At 37.5% G+C, this 24,337-nt stretch overlaps 1 protein-coding gene across 7 annotated transcripts in view; it reads right to left on the bottom strand.

The window, feature by feature from the left end:
* VPS45 (vacuolar protein sorting 45 homolog) overlaps positions 1 to 24,337 on the bottom strand; it is a 77,948-nt gene that overhangs the window by 44,253 nt on the left and 9,358 nt on the right. For 3 of the 7 annotated variants that reach the window (XM_024452791.2, NM_001279354.2, NM_007259.5), the window contains exons 5-13: positions 24,093 to 24,161; positions 23,846 to 23,983; positions 23,298 to 23,408; positions 19,601 to 19,735; positions 19,080 to 19,193; positions 18,194 to 18,361; positions 8,982 to 9,140; positions 8,668 to 8,775; positions 7,429 to 7,550 (exon numbers count right to left, since the gene is read on the bottom strand). In XM_024452791.2, coding sequence (XP_024308559.1) covers positions 7,429 to 7,550; positions 8,668 to 8,775; positions 8,982 to 9,140; positions 18,194 to 18,361; positions 19,080 to 19,193; positions 19,601 to 19,735; positions 23,298 to 23,408; positions 23,846 to 23,983; positions 24,093 to 24,161 — 1,124 coding nt within the window. Of the gene's footprint in view, positions 1 to 1,996; positions 2,228 to 7,428; positions 7,551 to 8,667; positions 8,776 to 8,981; positions 9,141 to 18,125; positions 18,362 to 19,079; positions 19,194 to 19,600; positions 19,736 to 23,297; positions 23,409 to 23,845; positions 23,984 to 24,092; positions 24,162 to 24,337 lie in introns of those variants that run through there. The other 4 variants (XR_007069452.1, NR_103998.2, NM_001279353.2 and 1 more) reach the window with 4 other exon arrangements.

The following is a 24,337-nucleotide window of genomic DNA, read 5'->3' as shown; positions in this document are numbered from 1 at the left end:
GGTGGTCTCGAATTCCTGACCTTAGGTGATCCACCTGCCTCGGCCTTCCACATTTTAATGAGGTTGTTTTTCTCTTGTAAATTTGTTTAAGTTCTTTATAGATGCTGGATATTAGACCTTTCTCAGATGCATAGTTTTTTTGTCATGAAATCTTAGCCTGTTCCTAGGTCCAGAATGGTATTACCTAGGTTGTCCTCCAGGGTTTTTATAATTTTGGGTTTTACATTTGTCTTTAATCAATCTTGAGTTGAAATTTTTGTATACCGTGTAAGGAAGGGGTCCAGCTTCAATCTTCTGCATATGGCTAGTCAGTTATTTCAGCACCATTTATTGAATGAGTCTTTTCCCCATTGCTTGTTTTTATCAGCTTTGTCAAAGATCAGATGGTCATAGATGTGAGGCCTTATTTCTGGGCTCTCTATTCTGTTCCATTGGTCTATGTGCTTGTTTTTGTACCCATACCATGCTGTTTTGGTCACTGTAGCCTTGTAGTATAGTTTGAAGTTGGGTAACGTGATTCTTCCAGCTTTGTTCTTTTTGCTTAGGATTGCCTTGGCTATTTTGGCGTTTTTTTGGTTCCATATGAATTTTAAAATAATTTTTTCTAGTTCTGTGAAGAATGTCATTGGTAGTTAGATAGGAATAGCACTGAATCTGTAAACTGCTTTGGGCAGTATAGCCATTTTAATGATATTGATTCTTCCTATCCATGAGCATGGGATGTTTTCCATTTGTTTGTGGCTTCTCTAATTTCTTTGAACAGTGTTTTGTAATTCTCACTGTAGAGCTCTTTCACCTTCCTGGTTAGCTGTATTCCTAGGTATTTTATTTTTTTGGTGGCAGTTGTGAATGGGATTGCTTTCTGATTTGGCTTTCAGCTTGGTTGTTGTTGCTGTATAGGAATGCTAGTGATTTTTGTACATTGACTTGTATCCTGCAACTTTGCTGAAGTTGTTTATCAGCTGAAGGAGCTTTTGAGCTGAGACTATGGGGTTTTCTAGATATAGAATCATGTCGTCTAAAAACAGTTTAACTTCCTGTTTTCCTGTTTGGATGCACTTTATTTCTATCTCTTGCCTGATTGCTCTGGCTAAGACTTCCAATACTCTGTTGAATAGAAGTGGTGAGAGAGGGCATCCTTGTCTTGTGCTGGTTTTCAAGGGGAATGCTTCCAGCTTTTGCCCATTCAGTATGATGTTGGCTGTGGGTTTGTCATAGATGGCTCTTTTTTTTTTTTTTTTTTTGAGACGGAGTCTCGCTCTGTCCCCCAGGCTGGAGAGCAGTGGCTTGATTTTGGCTCACTGCAAGCTCTACCTCCTGGGTTCACGCCATTCTCCTGCCTCAGCCTCCCGTGTAGCCGGGACTACAGCCACCCAACACCACACCTGGCTCATTTTTTGTATTTTTAGTAGAGACAGGGTTTTATCGTGTTAGCCAGGATGGTCTCAATCTCCTGACCTCATGATCCGCCCGCCTTGGCCTCCCAGAATACTGGGAATAGATGGCTCTTATTATTTTGAGGTATGTTCCTTCAATACCAAGTTTGTTGAGAGGTGTTTTTTTTTTTAATGGAGTCTCACTCTGTCGCCCAGACTGGAGTGCAGTGGCGCAATCTTGGCTCACTACAACTTTGCCTCCCGGGTTCAGCCAATTCTCCTACCTCAGCCTCCCAAGTAGCTGGGACTGCAGGCATCTGCCACTGTGCCTGCCACCACACCCGGCTAATTTTTGTATTTTTTTTTTTAGTAGAGACAAGGTTTCACTATGTTGGCCAGGCTAGTTTTGAACTCCCGACCTCTGATCTGCCCCACCTCAGCCTCCCAAAGTGCTGGGATTACAAGCATGAGACACATTGCCCACCTTATTGAGAATTTTTAACATTATTTCTATATGTGGTTAAGTTACATGGAAACACAAACTTTCAAAAGGCAACATTTTATCTATTTTGTGGAGCATTACACTTATGGCTAAAATTGTAATTTCTGAACATACTTACAAATGGTACAGTTCTTATGAGCATTTACTGCAGGAAAAAAGGCCAATGAAAAAGGACTGCTGCTTCACAGAAACAAAAAATAAGCTGTAGCAACAAGATTCTACTACATTTGTATAAACATGAAAAGTACTTCCTTTTTGAATTGACTGATTCTGGAATGCATGATCATATAGCTCCATTTCCTCACCAAATGAAAAAGTTGCTTGCCTTTATCAGAGACAAGAGGCAATTCTAGAGTGAGAAAAAAAAATTAGCTTGAAAAATAGGGTATGCAAGAATCCCATCTGCAGAATGATCAAATCCAATTTGTGGATATAGCTATACTGCCAAACAGCTTAAACACTAATTTAACAGCTAAGGGCTAAAAAAATTTCCACCAGTGTTCTGGTTTTGCAAAGTTGTGTTCTTGCCACATTTCCTTTGATATTTTCTATTATTATAGCAACAATAAAACCTAGAATTTCTATTATGATGAGACAAATAATAATAAATACCACTATAATCAAGGACTCTTTTCAATATGATAATACAGGGCCAAGAAAGTGGCTAGAGCTGATAGTGTGGCCAAGTGAATACAGAGCCAGAATGTTTTAAAGGGTTGTTTATGAACTTCAAAAATCTAAATTTTGTATAGCATCAATTAAGTTTATTCTCTGGTTTAAATTTTCCAACTATAAATATTGGCATATCAACTAGAAGAGATGCCTATAGAATTTACCAAACATCTATTGAACACCTATTATTTGTAAATCACTGTGTTAAACATTGTGAAAACCCCAAAGATTAACAAAACATAATACTTACTTCAAGATTACAATACCTAATACAATAACTAATAGGAAGGATAGATATGTAACTAACTACTGTCTCAATATCCAGAGGTAACGACTATTAACAACTTCTTGATTATTCTTTCAGAAATAATTACTGTAGGCAGGGCATGGTGGCTCATGCCAGTAATCCAAGCACTTTGGGAGGCTGAGGCAGGCAGATTGCTTGAGCTCAGGAGTTTGAGACAAGCCTAGGCAACATAGCAAAACCTTGTCTCTATAAAAATGCAAAAATTAGCTAGGTACTGTGGCATGTGCCTGTAGCCCCAGCTACTTAGGAGAATGAGGTGGGATGGCTTAAGCCCAAAAGGTGGAGGCTGCAGTGAGCTGAAATCACGCCACCACTCTCCAGTCTGGGCTACAGAGCCAGACCCTGTCTCAAAAAAACAAACAAACAAACAAAAAGAGTTACTGTATTTATACATATATGTGCTTGTGAAAATATATTATATATATAATATACATACATATGTATAGTCAAGCACATATTTATATACATGTACACTTTTTTTGTTTTGTTTTGTTTTGTTTTGAGACGGAGCCTTGCTCTATCACCCAGGCTGGTGTGTAATGGCATAATCTCGGCTCACTGCAACCTCCACCTCCCTGGTTCAAGCGATTCTCCTGACTCAGCCTCCTGAGTAGCTGGGACTACAGGTGCATGCCACCACGCCTGGCTAATTTTTGCATTTTTAGTAGAGACAGGGTTTCACCATGTTGGCCAGGCTGGTCTCAAACTCCTGACCTCAAAGAATCTGCCCGCTCGGCCTCCCAAAGTGCTGGGATTATAGGCATAAACCACTGCACCCAGGATTATACAGTTTTTTTACCTGAAAGAAATGTTATGGCTGGGCACAGTGGCTCATGCCTGCAATCCCAGCACTTTGGGAGGCCGAGGCGGGCGGATCACGAGGTGAGGCGGGCGGATCACGAGGTCAGGAGTTCGAGACCAGCCTGACCAACATGGTGAGACCCCATCTCTACTAAAAATACAAAAATTAGCCAGGCATGGTGGCATGCACCTGTAATCCCAGCTACTCAGGAGGCTGAGGCAGGAGAATCTTGAACCCAGGAGGCGGGGATTGCAGTGAGCCGAGATGGCACCACTGCACTCCAGCCTGGGTGACAGAGCAAGACTCTGTCTCAAAAAAAAAAAAAAAGAAAGAAATGTTACAACATCCTGCTTTTCTATCTAATATATCTTAAAAAGCTTTGCATATCACCCGTGAGGAGTTATGTCATTTAAAAAAAAAAGAATACGTAATATTGTACTGTAGTTTAGGTAACCAGCCCTCTATTAATAGATATTTAGCTTGTTCCTAGTTTTTTTGCTATTACTTCAGTGAACATCCTGGCTTAAGTATCTTTGTGTACTTGCACAGGAATATCTATACAGTAAGCTTTTAGAAGTAGAATTGGTAAATAAGAGTATTTTCAAGTCCTTTGCAGTATTCCTTCTGTTAGGCATGGCCAGGAGGTGGTATAGGTATGTTCTGTGACACCCACTGTAGTTTTGTAACCATTTCTTTGCCTTCTTCCTTCAAAATTTCCACTATCTTAGAAGCTCATAATGTAGCTGCACCGTTTTCTCCTGACCTCCTTTCCTGGTCACTTTTATTCCATGAAGACTTTAGCTCTGGCTTATTTGTCCTCCTTTTTCTCCTTCTCTTTTCAAGATTGTCAGTGACTTTAACATCACTGTGGATTACTCATCTAACATCCTGGTCTCCTTACCAATCCTGATCTTTTCTTTTACCCACTACAACCACCCACATCCATGCTTACAATCTAAACTTCTTCGTTACAAGTATCTGAACCCCCTATGAAATCTTGAATTCAAAATATCTTTATCCAATAACTACCTCTCAACTTCCAATTTACCTGTACTAATACTCTTCTGTAATAATTCTTTGGCCTCATCAAATCTCCAATTCATTCACCAATACCTTTGTCATGATCCAATACACTCTCCTCTTGTTTCCATTTCCCCAACTAGTTGCCTTTTCCATGTTTAATCTGGAGCAGTTCAACATTTCCAGAGGTTTTAATATTACTAATGTTTTTGTCAACTCTCAATATGTGACATTTCTACTTGTTATCTAATAGACATCTCCAACTGAACAACAAAACTCTGTTTCTCCTCAAAGCCTGAGAGTTATTCTTGACTTCTCTCTTACCCTTGTTCCATAAATCTGTGCCATTAAATATGACTATTGATTCTGGCTTCTCTCTCAGCCTCCTACCCAAACCACTTCCATTTCTCACCTGGACTACTGCATTCATCTCCTCAGTAGTCTCTCTGCTTCTATTTTTGCCTTCAATAATCCATTCTTACCACAAATATCTTTTAAAACACAATTAAGTTCATGTTACTCATATGCTTAACTCTTCAATGGCTTCCTATGACATTAAAAAAAAATCTCTTTACTAGGGTCTTCGAGAACCGATGTGATCCAACCCTACCTATCTTTCAACCTCTTATTTCCTCCTTATTCACTATGCTCCAGCCAAGCAGGGCTCCCTTCTGTTCCATTAACTTGCCAAATTCTCTCTTTCTTCAAGACCTTTGCTCTGGTGTTTCCCTCTGCTTTGGATGCTTTCTCTCCTAATCATAGTGTGATTGCTTTTTTTTTTTTGAGATGGGGTCTCACTCTGTTGCCCAGGCTCGAGTGCAACGGTGCAAATTTCAGCTCACTGCAACCTCCGCCTCCCAGGTTCAAGCGATTCTTCTACCTCAGCCTCCTGAGTAGCTGGGATTACAGGCGCCTGCTACCCACGCCAGGCTAATTTTTGTAGTTTTAGTAGAGACAGGGTTTTGCCATGTTGGCCAGCCTGGTTCAAACTACTGACCTCAGGTGATCCTCCCGCTTTGGCCGCCCAAAGTGTTGGGATTACAGGCGTGAGCCACCGTGTCTGGTCTGGTTCTTTCTTATGACTCAAAGCTCATCTTAAATATCACCTCTCAGAGAGGTTCTCTCTCCATCTAAAGTAGTCCTCCCCACCCCTACAATTACTTTGAAGCTCATCACCCTATTTATTTCCTGGATAGCACTTATTAAAATTATATTCTTCATTTGTTTACTTGTTTACTCATTGTCTCTATGTAAGTTCTTTGAGGGCGGGTACCTTGTCTTTCCTGTCACTTCTATATCGCCAGCATCTACAACAGCTCTTAACATACTGAAAGCATTCAATCAACATCTGTTGTGTAAAAGGACAAAGCAACTGAATTATTAACTATATGCATACTTAGGTTATAGTGACAAATGGTAACAGATGTTGACAACTGATAAATGTGCATTTTGTTCAAGGAATATAATTTTGAGCTTTGTGTGGGAATGAATTATGTAAATTAGAAAGGTTTCCTGCTGTGTACTGATCATATACAGTATATTCTTCCGGTGGCCTGTGGTTTCCCTTTGGTAATAAATAATTCCTTGTTCAGTAATTCTTATAAAAATTCATAAGCAAATAAATGTTTTTATTTATCACATTAATGCAAAAGCTCAAGAATAGTTGTTTTTTAAAAAGCCTCTCAGATAGGTGCATAACTTTGGGCTGGCGTTCATTCTTCCCACTTAGCTGACATTTCTGAATCTTGATCCCAAGGTCTTTAAACATTTTATCTGAATGAGTGTACTCTCTGAATTTAACACCAAATGTTCTGCATCTCAACCTTGGACTTTTAAAAGATGATTTTTTTTTCTGTTCTGTACCAAATTACAGAAAAAAATTTTTTAAAGGACAAAGTGAAAAAATACACTTTATCACATAAAAGAATCACCTATGTATCTCAAAACATTTTTCTCATTCAGAATCTCATTATGTTTATAAAACACTATACTTCCAAGGCTCTTAGATGTTTATTAACTGAAATAATAGAAGAATTATGTCAACAGTAAAATTTTCACATTAATCTATCCAATAGGATTCAAGTATATATGTTAGCCCCTTAGATAACATGTGTTCCAACAAAAAAAATATATAATTTTTAACTAGGTAGAATTTATGTATACAGTATTTAAAATTTCAGGTTGGCCTAAATAAGTTGTTCTGGACAAGTTTTGTTTTTATTAAAAATTAACCACTGGATTAAGATGACAATTATTGCTTCCTTTAGTTAATACTCAAAAAGAAAGCCATCCTTTGCTCCTGTGTAACAAATGGCCTTTATTAATTAGGTCTCTCAGTTTGTGTGCTGGCAACATTTGGCAAAGTCCAGTCCTCACCAAAAATAGTAACAACCTGCTCTGGATGGCAATCAAGCAGCAAGCCTATTTTTGGCCTCAATGTTTGAAACACCAAATGCCAGATGCCATCGAACAGAACCTTAAATGGCATAAGTAAACTGGTCTGATACTGAAATACAGAAGGATTTGAGGCTCTCCAAAACACTTGTTTCTTTAGTACAAAAGAAATAAATGTTTCAGACTTAGCAGGGGAATTCATATCTAATGCTGACATATGTAAAACCAAAAGAATCTTAACAGAAGAAAGGAGCAGCAGAATGCTATAACCTCAGCTTTAGTCCTTAACATTACTCTAAATTTTCTGTTTGTTCAGTATTTCTGGCTTTTATTATTAATATCTTTGTTAGCTTACCTGTCTCTGAGTGTGCTGGGGCCTAAATAAGGATATAGGTTTTCCTTAAGCCTTCCTTTGATGAGATGATCCAGGGTTTCATGTAGGAAAGGTTGATGCTGTGTATATACATTTTCTACTCCCTAAAACAGGGGAAAATGGTTCTTATGTCATTTTTGGGAAATTGGCAACACAAGAATTAATAATATTCATATCAGAAAAGGACATACACTCAATAGAGATTTCATGGGATAGATTTACGTAACTGTGGGAAATTTAAAAATTATTTTAATCAGCTAGAAATGTTCTAATCTCATAAAAATTACTCTGTAATTTAGGGCTAGTTATTGTAAAGGATTTTTTAAAAATGGAATTGCTTAAATCCTTAATCATGTCTTCACTGTCTCTCACCCTTTTGTGAAATGTTAAATGATAGGTAGAGCAAATAAAAGGAAAGGATTATGTATAAAAAAGACTGAAAATACCCAGGAAAATAGAAAAACTTCAGGAAACATAAGAAAGGCTGCCGGGCGCGGTGGCTCACGCCTGTAATCCCAGCACTTTGGGAGGCCGAGGCGGGCAGATCACAAGGTCAGGAGTTCGAGACCATCCTGGCTAACACGGTGAAACCCCATCTCTACTAAAAATACAAAAAAAAATTAGCCGGGTGTAGGTGGTGTATGCCTGTAGTCCCAGCTACTCGAGAGGCTGAGGCAGGAGAATGGCGTAAAACCCGGGAGGCAGAGCTTGCAGTGAGCCGAGATCACGCCACTGCACTCCAGCCTGGGAGACAGAGCGAGACTCCGTCTCAAAAAAAAAAAAAAAAAAAAAAGAAAGGCTAGCAGATTAGAATTAATTTTTGAGTATTTTAAGAAAACAGGTTAGTATTTTTAAAAGATCAAAAGTTTGCTTCATCTTTAATTTCCTTCAAAGAGAAACTACCTAAAAAATCTTTAATTATAAACAAATGGTGTAAAATATCTGTGACTAACAGAACTGTTGGTCTTTTTCTTCTTATTTCCTGGAAATACCTCCAGTTATTTCCTGCTAAGCTATTTGGTCCAATGTTGATACGGCTCTAAGACAGAAAGCACTAAAAGAAAAAGCTTTCAAGAGGATGCCAGTTTTAATTTCATTTAACTGACACAGTACTAAATTAGCAGCAATCTTCAAGATACTTTGAAGATCATATTCATTCACTCTCAGCCTCAAGGACTTCAACTGTTCTCACTCAGGAGAGCATAGAGGAGATGTCTATACCTTCAGTCCTTTGAGGAATTGTTTGGTGATAGCCACAGCATCTTTGGGGCTGAAGAGGTCACTTCCTCTGACTCGTTTACCACCATATTCAACAACTGCAGACACGAGCTATTAAGAAAGAGAAGCAAATTTTGATTGCTTAGGCATCAGGAAGCCCATTTCATAAGAAAATAATTTTATTAAGGAAACAAAAATGAAAAGACAGAATTATACATTTCTGTAAATAAAAATAGTATGATTTATCATTCGTTAGAGCTAAGAATATAATAACAGAGTTGGTTCCTGTTTGGTGGGCTAATATGGAAACTGGTTACCTTTCGATACTTCTCAGAAACACCTTTATTCCTGAGGTCCATCATTAGTCCTGGCAGGCTATTGCTGCTGTGTCGCTCATAATGTAAAGCATAAAGCATCACCAGGCGGGCAGCATCAAACTCTGTCACTTTGGGGTTCTGCAGAAGCCTTTTTATATTCTGAAGAAAGATAGAACTTATATTTATCCCCCTTTCACTTGAGTCATCTGTTGTACAATGCCTTAGATCTAATAATTATTGAATGGTAGTGATACATCACTACTATGACAATTATAAGTCATACATTTAGCAACTGTCTCAACTATAGAAAATTAAATGCCTTTTGTCCAAGGTAAGAATTAAATAAGGAAATATATTTCCATTGTAATTGCTTTAGGACAAAAATGAATTTAATAATGGATAGTTCCACTTTTCTTTTCCAATAGCTGAAGTTGTAATTTCCTTGCTGAAAGAACACTTACTATTTCCACGACTTGAATCAATACGGCACAACAAAACTGACTAGTTGATTTGCAAAACCTACTGCTTTCTCTTAGTATTAATGATTGACCAGTGAAATGGAGACAAGTTGGTAGAATTTTACACAGACTGGGCTTGATCTCTAAGAAGCATCAGAACATGTCTCAACATGGTTGACAGAGATGAGTATGTAATAGCATGTAATCTCTAGATTTAGTACTTAATGATTTTAAGAGGCAGGTACCGATAGGAAAGGGGGCCAGGAGAAGCCATGTTTACATTTTTTAATCCTCATATTCAGGACCTTCCATATAGTATAGATTTATATTTATTATGCAGCAGAACAAATAATTTAATTCAAGTCAACAAATACTTTTGAGTCCCCATAAGGCAGTATGTCATGCACTGTTGCAGGCACACAGATAAGTTAAAGACAATTCCTGTCCCCAGTGAGTTCACAGTCAATGGGGTGAAGGATGATCAAAGTAATATAATTTATTCTGCTATATACATGTTTCTTTAATGTACTTTAGTTCTGTGAGATGGATAAATATGGAAATGGTGTCAGTTTAACACAGAAGGCATATTGGTTCACATGTAATTTTTCCAGAATGGATAGGCTTTCTTATGATTAAAGGGGAAGCCTTACCAATACCTTAAGAAAAAAAGATGATAATCCTACAGAAGTGTGTTCTGCAAGAAGTATCTGGTTTTGTAGCTTCAAGAACTGTTGCACTTTCCACTGTGTTATGCTATATGGGGAAAGGGCAAGTGCAAATAAAAAGGATGCAAATATATTGCACTGTGTAAAAAAGCAAAACAAAACAAAATAACAATCAAACACTGATTGATGAAGAAAGCTGTCTCCATATGGTATTTTTAATTTTGACAAAGTAGTCTTTATGAGAAGTGAGTATTTTCAAGACCTTATAATTTGAAGAAAACATGAGCCCCAGGAATAAGGCTGCAGAGGATGGACTGGCTCTATTTCTAGGTGCAAATGCCGGTGGAGATTTAACCATGCTAGTATTTTTATTATAATTGTTACTATTTTTATTAGGGCTCTGATTTAAAAATTATATGAATGTTTTCTTTCTTTCTATAGTCATGTAGATTTTAAGTGGTCTGCTTATAACCCTATATTCTCATAACCCTTTTTTTAGTGCATGTTTTTATAGAATATGAGGTTTTTCAGGAACAAATATGTGGTGTTATAACAGAAACATGTATGCAAAAAACAAAACAAAAAGCAAAAGCTGAAAATCAGTGCAAAAGAGGAAGGGGAGAGAAAGGGGAAGAGAAAGTATATTGGGTTGTTGAGAAATTAGGAAAGACTTCACAGAGGTGACACTTGCCAAAGGTCCTGAAGAATCAGTAAGTATTGGAACCAGTGTGAGAGACCAAAAGCAGTGGCACTATCAAAATAAATATGGAAATCAGAGGAAGAAATGGCTTGGTTTGAAAGGCTGGCAAGAGCCTTGAAGGGCACTGAATTCTGAGGACATAACTATCAACTATATGATTACTTTACAACTTACAAAATGCTTTCACGTACATTATCTCTTTTGTACCTGACAACAACCATGTCCAATGTCTAAGAGCTCTTCTGTTCACACTGACTAGGGACTATGATGATAATGGGGAACCTCCCATGTAGCTTTCAAGTACAGAGTTCTCTGAAAGAGATTTCTATTGTTGATTTTTTGGGTTACTATTTCACTACCATCATCCTTAAGGGATCAAAAAGGGAGAAACTTCTCTTCTGTAGATTTCGATCCCAAATTCGTAAGATTTTTCTTATTTTTTTCCTTTCATGGGATCTTTCCCCTAGAGCAGCCACGGAATACAGCCCATTTAGGGTATCTGTTCAAATGTTCCACTATTTTCTACTATAATATGAAGAAATTTCAGGTACAAATTATGTATGTATCTCAATCAACAGCGTAAGTTTAAAACATTAAGAAATCCTGTTGGGGGCCGGGTGCCATGGCTTACACCTGTAATCCCAACAATTTGTGAGGTCGAGGTAGGTGGATCACTTGAGGTCAGGAGTTCGAGACCAGCCTGGCCAACATGGTGAAACTCCCTCTCTACTAAAAATACAAAAAATTAGCAGGATGTAGTGGCGGGTGCCTGTAGTCTCAGCTACTCAAGAGGCTGAGGCAGGAGAATTGCTTGAACCTGGGAGGCGGAGGTTGCAGTGAGCCGAGATTACGTGCCACAGTACTCCAGCCTGGGCGACAGAGTGAAACTGTCTCAAATAAATAAATAAAAATTTTAAAAAATTTTTTTAAAAAGAAAAGAAATCCCATTTGGGATTTCTGTTGTTACTTTTCTTATAGGCACAATGTCTCATTTCCTGCCCTTGCAGTCACTCTCTTACCACCTTTTCTGGCTGATCTGTCTCTGTACTTTTAAGCAAATCTGAGAAATCCAAGTAACTATAAATTCACAAAACTGGTATGATGACAGTCAAAGACTATTTGCAGTAATCAGTCTCTGCCCTTTTCTATTTACCTTCACTTGGATCTTGACTCTTGGCTGTTTCTTATTAGAGATAGTAAGTGTTGTTGATGATGACGTGGAGAAATAAGAACCCTTACACACAACTGGTGGGAATGTAAATTAGTACAGCCATTATGGAAAATAGTATGAAGATTCCTTAAAAAATTAAAAATAGAACTACTATATGATTTAGCAATCTAACTACTTGGTATATATCCAAAGGAAATGAAATCAGTATGTTGAAGAGCTATCTGCACTCCTATGTTTACTGCAGCACTATTCAAAATAGCCAAGATATAAAATCAACCTAAATGTCCATCAACAGATGAATGGACCAAGAAAAGCAGTATTTAGGTCGGGCACGGTGGCTCAGGTCTATAATCCCAGCACTTTGGGAGGCCGATGCAGGTGGACTGCTTGAGCTCAGGAGCTGGGGACCAGCCTGGACAACATGGTGAAATTCTGTCTCTACAAAAATACAAAAATTAGCTGGGCATGGCAGTGTATACCTGTAGTCCCAGCTACTGGGGAGGCTGAGGTGGGAGAGTAGCTTGAGCCTGGGAGGCAGAAGTTGTAGTGAGCCAAGATTGCACCACTACCCTCTAGCCTGGGCGATAGAGCCAAACCCTGTCTCAAAAAAAAAAAAAAAGAAAAAAGGGAAAAGAAAATAGCAGCATATATATATATATATATATATTTATTATTCAGCCATGAAATAGAACAAAATCCTGTCATTTGTGGCAAAACAGATTAACCTGGAGGACTTACATTAAGTGAAATAAATCAGACACAGAAGGACAAATAGTGCACGATCTTACTCATATGTGGAATCTAAAAAGTTGTTCTCATTGAACTCATAGAAGTAGAGAGCAGAATAGCAGTTACCAGAGGATGGGATGGTGAAGGATAGGGGTGGTTAGAAATTGGTTAATAGGTACAAAGCTACAGTTAGATAGCAGGAATATGTTCTGGTGTTCTATTGCATAGTAGCATGAATAGAGTTAACAATAATGTATTATATATGTCAAAATAGCTATAAGAGAGGTTTTTAAATGTTCTTATCGCAAAGAAATGACAGATGTTTAAGGTGATGGATATGCTAATTACCCTGATTTGATCACTACACAATGTATACATGTATTGAAACATCACATTGTATTCCATAAATCTGTACAATCATTATGCATCAATCCTAAAAAAAATCCACTTCCATTCCTTGAGACTTGGTAGTGGTATTTAGATTGCCTGGCTTGACTCTTAGTTCTTGACTGAGGACTTGGCCCAGATCTGACCAGGCTTACTGCGAGTAATTATTTTGCCTACTTTTGAGCCCTTAGGACCCAACTCATGGCTCAGGTCCATGTTCTAGCTAGAGGCATCTATTCTCTCATGAAAAGAAACCTGTAGGTACAAGCTGAGTTCTTTCTTTTCTTTCAGCTGTATCAGTCCTTGGAGACGCAGGACCTTTTTGTCTGCCTTGATCCCACTTTATCCTTTGACTTCATTTTGAAGGATTTCCCTCATAACTACTTGACTTGTCAACTTGATTGACAGTGGCATACATTACATTGAGATTTCAGGGCACTAACCAGAGAAGAGGAGAAAAAAGAATCAGAGAGGCTTATAATTACAAAGCAAGTTATATGCTACACGGTAGTATTTATCTGTTGGAAATTAACTGAATTACATAATTTTTTGGTTTCTCTTATTAAATTTTCCATCAGCCTTGTGACTATTAGAAAAGAACACTGTCACATTATAACAATGACTGAGTAAAGAGCAAAACAGAAAATTGTCATCTACTTAAGAAGACAGGATTCGAAAACCTTGCACTGAACTCTAACATTTGTGTGGGCGTAATCAAGGAATAGGAAAAGCAAAGCAAAGCAAAGCAAAAATAGTGTCTTTGGAGATCAAGTTTCCTAAAGGAACTAACATTCATTTATAAGACATCAACGAGAAAACCATTCTTCTTTTCTGATATTTAGAGATTCTTCCATTGTTTCTGGCTAAATCTTTTTTTACTTTTCTGTTTTCTTCTATCAAAACTATGATAAAGCAGCACAGCAAGAAGAAATCATTATGACATACACACATTTCAAACTATTATACAGATTACAGTTGGTCTTGGTAATAAAGATAGTCTCCGTCTTTTTTTTTGTTTTAGTTTAACCTAAAGAACAGGATCCCTTCTTTGTTATCTACTATATTAATGTAGTAAAGTCAGAGAATAACAAAATAAACCAACAGATTAGGACAGTAAGATGGAATTGGCAGAAGACTTCCACATGCTGATCTGACAAAAATGAGCCTAACAGTTTGAGAGAACAGTGTTGTGGGAATATAAAAAGCTTATCAGGGAAAAATGATAGAAAGCAGACAAGACCCAATTCTACTGACTGGTAAATACATCGGAGCCAGTATTCCTTTTCTTAATGACTAGTCAACATAAAATTGAGCTTTGCAGTAGATCTTCTGCTGATCAATACTATTTCTAAAATACTGGCTAAATGTTGTTTTAGAGTAAAAGGATCATTTTTACATTTAATTAATCAAAGTAAAATTGTCAGTCAGTTCAATGTGTCCCAACCACTTTTCTTATAATTTTAATGAGTGGCAAAACAAAACAAAACACACACACAAAAAAACCAAACACTTTTCTGAAATCAGAGAGATACAAGGCTATCACTGAACTAAAAAACATGTCTTGGATGCCATTAAGAAAATTAAATGTACCATCAAATAATAATACTCTTAATGTTGGTAGTTAATATTTCTTGAAAGCTGTAAGTACCAAGTACCATAAGTGTTTTACATGTATTAGCTCATTGCACTCTCACAACAATTCTGAGGTAAGTACTATTATTTTTCCCCCTTTATAGACAAAAGGACTGAGTTTTAGAGTGGTTAGGAATTATTTTCAAACCCAAGCCATCAAAGGCCCAAGCTCTTAGCCACTACTCTATACTGCTTCAAATAGAGCTCTTCCTCCTCATTTTTCTAATAAATATTTATTGAGTCCTTATTATGTATCATTAACAGGATGATTTGAGATCTTTATGAAAGGTCAGGAAAAAATACAAAATAGACTGGTTCCTCTCTCCAAATGAAAAACTGTGATATGACAACACAGGCTGGGCATGGGGGGCAGGGTATAGGGAGGATGGTAAGGGTGGAATTGCTCACTTTCTAAAGATGCTTTTCTTCATGGTATGGCAAATCTTCATTACTAATTAATAAATCTCTTCTGAGGATATGTATATGTTTCAGTGGTAGTAAATTTCACTTTGGTTCTAGTGAAATTCTTTCTAAATGAAATTTTCATTAGCCTACAAAATAATGGTTAGAATGGCAGCAATTTTTAAGTTAACTTTTAGCAATACATGCTTTTTTTTCTTGTCATGATACTATTCAATAAAGCAAACCCCATCTCTACTCACAAACCTCATTTCATTGCTTCATGACGTATTATCATCTAAGGTCAAGCCAAGGAATGCTATAACCCCTCTAGAAGTCAGGCCCCTGACATCCACTTACTATCAAACAAAAGATCCCTTTATAGACTATTTAAGTTATGTTGCCAAATAAGTCGTTTATGATGGGGGACTCCAAATCAACTGCTCACTGTAAAATCCCAATACCCTAGACAAGAAAACCTTCAAAAGATAAGTTCTAAAAATAAAAAGTGGATCACAAATAGAATTTATATTTTTAAAGTGACTATTTTTCTTTTAAAGTGAACACAAAAATAAAGTTTCAGACAAGTTATTACAAGAACTTTTTCTAATTGCTTTCCACATGTAGAGAGATACAAATAAAGACAGTAAAACTGGCTAGTGATTAAGTCTGGTTCTACTGTTTTCAAGGGAAAAATCAAATGATAAAGAAATATAAGAAATTTAAATTTAGTTACGGGACACAATTTTGTTTTTTATTTAATAAGAGGCAGAAAACTCATTTTTTGTGGTAAATATCAGGACATTTCTATTAGGCCCACAAAACAACTATAAAATACTATTAGTAGTGTTGTTTAAAGGCCAAGTTAAATAGATTAGGATACATCTTTACAAAGGATACTATTTAGTGATTAAAAAGAATGCGACTTTAGGTTCTGATCCAAAACCCAACAACAATAAGTCCCAGTAAAGACCCTGGTATAACTAGAGCACCCACAGGTAGACTTCTTTCTTTTGTTTGCACTATGTGTAAAAAAAAAATCATGCTTAGAGGAAGGGAACTAACATTTACAAAGCACCTATTACATGTGAAGCATTTTACATATCTCATTGAATCATCGTAACAGTCTGAAAGTTTGAAATCATAATCCCCAAGACTTGGGCAAATCAAGTAATTTTCCCAAAGAAACTTTGGTAAGGAGAGGTAGGATATAAGCCAAGCCAGTCTGGGTCCAAAACCTGAGTTGTTTCCAATATAACAGGTTGGCATTATTTTATAGAATAAAGTGGAACTGTAGCTGGGAAAGAAAGAAGCTAAGCTTTAGAATATAGGGCCCTATTAACAGGGAAATGTGCTTCTTATAAGTGGCTTAGAAATGGCTATTTCCTAAAGGACTCGTAGTCCTAAATTACTTGTCAGTGACATCATACTTTGTCATTTCTCAGGAAACATGGGATTACCTCTGATTTATTCTATCTTTATATCCAGCCTGTCGTCTAATTCTTCTCCCTTTGAAATGTTTTTCAGTTCAGCCCCTTGCTGTACATTTTTACTACTATCACTGTAAGTCTACAAGTCTCTCTGACCTGTTTTTTCACCTCTAAAGCATCCTTACTAGGTTACATTTCCTAAAATACTGCCTTCCTCACCTCAACTTTCTACATAAGATCCTATACTGGATCTCTTTGCTTATCTCAGCAGGTATAAATTCTTACAAGCCTCTTCATAAAGCTTGTAAACTGTTTTTTGTTTACCAATTCAATTTTATCTAATTCTGTTTCATACTCACTCTCTACAGGTCAAACTGTTTATTACTTCCTGCATATTTCTACATCTTTGCTTTTGCTGCTCCTGGCTGAACTCCTTCCCCAAATTCTATTCATTCTTTTGTGGTCCATCCAAATCTTGCCTTCTCTAAGAACTGTTCCTAATAACCTCAAAACCTGTTACAGTCAGTATTACAATTATGACTTAATTCTCATCTTGAAACATTATCTAATTTTTTCTTGTGCTTTAGTTTTGTCTCTTCAACTAGACTATACATTTCTTGAGGCCAGAGTCTGATTATGTTGCTATTCTTCTAAAATCCTCCGGGAGCCCCCATCATTTTAAGATTAAAGCCCAACTTCCTTCCAATGGCCATAACCTGGCTTCAGTCAGTCTTTCCAGTCTAAGACCACTCATCTTGTACCCTGGACTAGCCACACTGAACTATTCTCTGTTCCCATATATATATTTAAATATATGTATATTTCAAATATAAATATTTTATATATATATAGAAAATATATATATATATCAATATTTATTTCTTCACATCTTCATGCCTGCATTCTCTCTGCTGAGAATGTTTCTTCCTTTTCCCTGTTTGATGTTATTTTCCCTAAGAAGTGCTAAGAAGCTTCATCCTTGGGGAAAACAGTTGTCCTTCCTCTGTATTTCCATATTCCTTTGTAAATACCTCTAATATAGTACATAGTGCTTGGTATTACAATTGCTGGTTTAAATTTCTTTCTCCCCTACTGTAATGTGGTATCTTATTCATCTTTGTATTCAGATCCTCACAGCAGTAGTATATACATATAGCAGGCATTAATATGTTGGTGCGATGAAAAGCAGATCTTCAATAATGAAAAAACTTAGACAATACATTTTAATATATGTTTTATCTTTTAAAGTCTTCCTAACCACTCTGTGAGATGAGTATTAATATACCTATTTTACAAATAATGAAACTGGCTCAGAGATTAAGTCAACAGCTCCATGTCACAAAGCCTGTAAGTGGTATACCAAACACTCCAATCTAGATCTTCTGATTCTAGTTTGGTGCTCTTTCTAGTAGACTAGGCTGCCCTTATACTAATTAACTGAACCCTTGGGAATTGCACATTACACTTCTCTTGTGACTCTTTTTATAGATCTATCTTAAATAATATTAATTTGTGTTCTCATGTCAGCTCCTTGTTGGACTAAATTCCATGTTGATGAAGAAGGATTACTTGCCTTTTTATCTCTTGCTCTGCCTGGCACAGTGCCTTACACATAGTAGGTGCTCATCAAATTGGACTGACCTGGAGAGCACTAGAATGGTCATTTTGACAGGCCAGTTCTTGCTCAACCTCTGAAACCTCCAGCAGATTCCGTTCACTGACCAATCGAGACAGTTCTCCAACCACTGTCACATGCTTTGAAACAGTCCCAGACATTTTCTTGAACTGTGGATAATTCTCAACAAACGCCTGCCATGGGAAAAACATCAATGGGAGGTTCTGTTATTTTTTGACTGAGGATAAGCATGTACTGAATGGGGGTTGGGGAAAGCGGGGGTTGTTTTTCAGCCCAGATTAAAGCATCTACAACTTTCAGCCACATGGCATTTTGTTATGCTTAAGAAGAGAAGAACTGGTATATGTTGGTAGACTGAGTTTTTTTTTTTTTTTGAGACAGAGTTTTGCTCTTGTTGCCCAGGCTGGAGTGTAGTGGCGTGATCTTGGCTCACTGCAACCTCCCAACCTCCGCCTCCCAGGTTCAAGCGATTCCCCCGCCTCAGCCTCCCGAGTAGCTGGGATTACAGGCATGCGCCACCACACCTGGCTAATTTTGTATTTTTAGTAGAGACGGGGTTTCACCATGTTGGTCAGGCTGGTCTTGAACTCCCGACCTCAGGTGATCCACCCGCCTCGGCCTCCCAAAGTGCTGGGATTACAGGCGTGAGCCACTGCTCCCAGCAATAGATTGAGTCTTTAAATAGTCCAGATATTACTGAAGAATGGAAAGAAGCACATGGCTTATCATAAAGTTTTCACTATATTGTTTAAAGACATTACAGAAAATAAGTCTCAAACCAAATAAAATCAATCAAGGTAGAAATTAGACCCAGAAGATTCCAAAAGTGTTGCTTACATGAATAGTACCAAACTGTCACATGTTTGTCATTCATGTACATGTTCAATTTACCTTCATGTCTGCTATTGATTCTAGTTTTTGCTGTTCTTTTGGTTTCTTCTTCTGAAAATCTTCCATGAGATTCTTTATATTGCTACCAATCTCAGCAAAGTTCAGGTACATATTCTGTGAAAAAGAAAGTTGGAAGCACACTTCATCAACTAGTCTGACTTTCAGACAACTTGAAAGAAGTGAAAAAGAATTTGGAACACAGAATTGAAGGGCAGGGAAATTCTATTTTAATTACCAAATTTGGACATTAGCTGGGACACTGTTGATGAATACCATTACTATTCTCACAAACAGCTACTGGAGGGGAGAGAAGTAAATAACTACGTGATCTCTATGAAAAAAAATTGCTAAAGGGTCAGAATCCAAGTCTTCTGCCTTCCCTTCAGAGGCAGTTTATGCACAGGATGCCCCTATCATCCTTTCACATGAAATCCCATGCCTGCCCCTATACTAACAAGCCAATATTGATCTTCTTACATAAAAACAACTAAAGACAATTTAAAAAAATTTAAACCACCTACATTAGCATAGAATTCATCATTTTCAGCAGATAGGACCACTTCTCTTAAGTCTTTACTGATTCCCGGCACTCTGGAAAGATCAATCCGATTGTTGTTTATGCCTAGTAGTTCGTGGACCATGGCCTGATATGTCCACTAAATAAAGAATTATGAAAAAAAAAGGTAACTGACAGAATATGGAAATAGTAAACGTTCAGGAAAACAAATAAAAACTGATAACATTCTTTAACTAGTCTTCTTTACATGAAGATTCTCGAGTTAAATTTTATTCATACTTTGTGCTATAAGCATTAAGACTGTCATTTTAATTGATTAAACACTGAAGAAAAGTCAAAATACTTTTAGATTTCATACTTTTGGAAAAAGGGCAGCAAGATTAATATTCTTGATAGAAAGAAAACAAATTAGAGCTATTATTAGCTCCAATTTTTTGCCTGTGAATTAAGAGTATATTTTTGGCTTCACAGATAGAGCTATATTGGTACTGCAGTTACAAGCTGTACCATTTCCTGTATGCTTCTATGGTTTTCTGCAGCATGAGAAGTGTGTTCTTGCAGATCTGAGTGGTACTATATTTGTCCTGGGAACACTAATATTATCAGAAAAACCTTGTGAGTTGATCAAAACACTGGGATATTCAGAAACTTACCTTTGAACCCATTTTATTTTATATTTTTACCTAAGGGGAGATGAGAGGAAGGACTGGTTTCCAGTCTCACAAATTGAGAATTTATTTGGTAAAACTGGAAATGAGAAATCTCCAAATTTTCCCTTTTCACCAATTATGGAGAATAGATTACTTTCAGTCATAGGTCTGTTAGACAAAATGAAGTATTTTCTAGCATGTTCCCTTCTGCATCTAGAATCTAAATGCTAGAAATATTTATATACATATTTTATCTTAAGAAAACTAGATTTATTAAGAAATAATTTAGAAGGTTATAAAAGAAGGTGCTTATTTCCTAAAAGATTTGCCAAAGGAATTCTTGAAAAAGCAAGTTCCATTAAGTCGCACTTAAAATAAGTACAACAAGGCTGGGCATGGTGGCTCATGCCTGTAATCCCAGCACTTTGGGAGGCTGAGGTGGGTGGATCACTTAAGGTCGGGAGTTCGAGACCGGCCTGACCAACATGGTGAAACCCCATCTCTACTAAAAATACAAAACTAGCCGAGCATGGTGGCACATGCCTGTAATCCAAGCTACTCAGGAGGCTGAGGCAGGGAATCACTTGAACCCAGGAGGCGGAGGTTGTAGTGAGCCAAGATCACACCATTGCACTCCAGCCTGGACAATAAGAGCAAAACTCCATCTCAAAAAAAAAAAAACGTACAACAAAATGTTTTATGCTTTTATGGATAGCTTCTTGTACATGCTTCTAGCACTTACTCTACAATTAAAATTATGTTTATTTTTCTCATAATTGGACCATGAGCTCTTTGAGGACAGAAATTGTAACTTTTAACCTTTTATCTCTAGTACTTAGTTTAGTACGTGGCACAAAAGAAGTCCCCAGTGAAATCTGTGGGATAAATAGTTGCTTTTCTTTGGGAGACAGAATAATAGGCAATTAATTTTCTTTCTACTTTTTGATATTATCAAAAGTTTCTTTGGTGAACATATATTACTTTGAATTTTAGGAATACAAGGCTATTTTATACTACAGAGAAGTTTCACTCCACAGATTTCCCTTAGCATTAACATTAGTACAAGCTGGGAAGAAACTGAAACATAGACTGTGCCTTTCTCTGTAAATACAAAGTCACAGCCGGGCGTGGTGGCTCACGCCTGTCATCTTAGCACTTTGGGAGGCCGAGTCGGGCAGATCACTTGAGGTCAGGAATTCGAGACCAGCCTGGCCAATATTTAGACAGAAACCTTGTCTGTACTAAAAATATTTAATACAAAAATTAGCCAGGTGTGGGGGTGTGCACCTGTGATCCCAACTACTCAGGAAGCTGGGGCATGAGAATTGCTTGAACCTGGGAGGCGGAGGTTGCAGTGAGCTGAGATCACGCCAATCTGGGTGACAGAGAGAGACTCTGTCTCAATAAATACATACACACATACAAAATCACTATTAATAGAGCACCCGCTATGTGCACTGTTCTTATACTTGAAGGAGAAAAAACACTGGTGAGACTCAGTCTGCCTTGAAGAAATATGTAACGTAGGAGAGGATGTAAACAACCAAAGCTACAACATGGCAAGTACAGCATGAGACATGAGAGAGACACAAAGGTCTACAAGTCTACAGGGATTTTCAGGAGATAAGAACAATATCTGACTGAAAGAATACAGGCTTCGAGATGTTGAAGAATGGCTGGATGTTGGAGATGGCTTTTGAGTGTTTTTTTTTTTTTTTGAGACAAGAGTTTCGCTCTCGTTGCCCAGGCTGGAGGACAGTGGCATGATCTCGGTTCACTGCAACCTCTGCCTCCCAGGTTCAAGTGATTCTCCTGCCTCAGCATCCTGAGTAGCTGGGATTACAGGCATCTGCCACCACGTCCAGCTAATTTTTTGTATTTTTAGTAGAGACAGGGTTTCATCATGTTGGCCAGGCTGGTCTCAAACTCAGGACCTCAGGTGATCTACCCACCTCGACCTCCCAAAGTGCTGGGATTATAGGTGTGAGTCACCGCGCCCGGCTCTTCTTTTTTTTATTCTTTGCTATTATTCATATAAATCATTTTATTTATTTATTTATTTATTTTTGGAGACGGAGTCTTGCTCTGTCGCCCTGGCTGGAGTGCAGTGGCATGATCTCAGCTTACTGCAACCTTCGCCTCCTGGGTTCAAATGATTCTCCTGCCTCAGCCTCCCAAGTAGCTGGGACTACAGGTGTGTGCAACCACACCCGGCTAATTTTTTTGTAGTTTTAGTAGAGACGGGGCTTCACCATGTTGGCCAGGTTAGTCTTGAACTCTTGACCTCAGGTGATCCAGCCACCTTGGCCTCCCAAAGTGCTGGGATTACAGGCGTGAGCGACCGTGCCCGGCCAGATTGAGTGGTTTTAACAGCAGTATTTTGATAGGTGAAGATGGGAAGAGAAGGTATTCCAAACATTCTAGAGTTTAGAAAGCAGTCACAGTAAAAGCATGCTGGCAGGAAACCATGTGGCATTATCTATGTAAGTGGTGAACTCTAGGTTTTATAAGAGGTTTAGCCCACATTGTGAAGGCTCTTGGATGCCAAGTTCAGGAGTTTCTTTTTAACCTAGTAGGCAAATGGGAACCAATGAAGTTTTTTAAGCCAAGAGTAATAAGATAGAGCTGTGCTTTAGGAAATTGTACTTGTGGAACATTTGGAGTGAGAAGAAATAAAAAGTAGGGAACGAAGTAGATGACTATTTCAATATTCTTGCAAGAGATTAGGATCTAGACCAAGGCAATGGCTGTAAGCATGGAAATGAGGAGACAGAAGGAAACACAGGGAAATAGAATCTACAGAATTAAGAAGCTGTCTTGATTAGGGGTGGAGGTACTGGCAGAAAGGTACAGGAGAGATGAAGCAGAAGAGTTATGATGACAGTGGATGGAAGAATCATGATACCAAAACACCAGGAAATACAAAGCAAAACCAAGAATAGCTAAAAATAAGGAGGCAAATAAATGGACCATGTTTTTACTTCCCTATCTGTATTTTGATGAATATCACTTAAAATTATCCTTCTATTATGCCAAGAAAGGGTTTTGTACCTGGTTTAGCAATGGGGTGATGGCATCATCACAGCGATCTAAAATAAGGAGCAATGGAGGAACCTCTGTCCGACGGAATTCAAACAGTTCATATTCTTTAGTTATCACTTGCTGTGGGTGAGAGAGAAAGATGGTTTGTGCAACCATCTAGTTACATATAGAAATGATATAAATAGGAAATTAATAAACACTACATTTAACAATAGTTCTTTGCACCCACATAGATCTTCCATATGAAGGATTCAAAAGTCTCACAAAGTTTAGTAGCATACTATTTAAGAGGTTAGGATATGAAACCCTATTTTATAAGTGGTTTAACTGGACCAAAAAAAGTTAAATAGCTTGTGAATGTTTCTTGGGTTAAACCTAAGAATCTTAGCTCTAATTGTTGCTTTTTGTTTTAAATTACATATACCTACCTCTTTTCGCGGAAACCTAACATACAATCATCTCCTTGGTTGTAAATAAACTATTCCTTTAGTTTCTGAAATATGATAGAGAAATGAATGGCCTTTATGTTTTGGAACCAGGAATAGGTAATGCCATACCTTAACGCACTCTGCAAGTCTCTTTGCTGCCTCTGATGAGAGCTGATAACGAATCATGGGACACTTCTTCAGAGATAAAAGGAGAGCTGTAAGCCCTTGAGTTGTTCTAGATAGCTGGGCTGGATCCCAATTTCGACCCTTTTTGTTAAAAACATATATTCAGAGAAAATATTTGAATTTTCTCTTACAAGTCTAATTATTTGCTGAATTAACTCTCGACTGATAAATTAAACCTTTCCTTCCATACCTGGCAGCAACCCAAAATATTGAGGGAAAACAAATGTGGGTTCACAGCAATGTAATCACCATAAAATTCCTGCAAATAAAGCACCAAGAATAGTCATTCCATAAACTTCAATTGTATCAAGCAGTAATATTTTCATAAGTGATATAATATGATATAGCCAAACTTTGTGAAATACAGGTGTAAAGAGATACTAAATTGTTCAATTAATAATTGGGTAACAACAGTCAACGTGGGAGAATTAAAAT

The sequence above is a fragment of the Homo sapiens genome, chromosome 1 (genome assembly GCF_000001405.40).
Source record: "Homo sapiens chromosome 1, GRCh38.p14 Primary Assembly".
Taxonomy (NCBI): Eukaryota; Metazoa; Chordata; class Mammalia; order Primates; family Hominidae; genus Homo; species Homo sapiens.
This window is presented reverse-complemented; position numbering and strand designations above follow the sequence as displayed.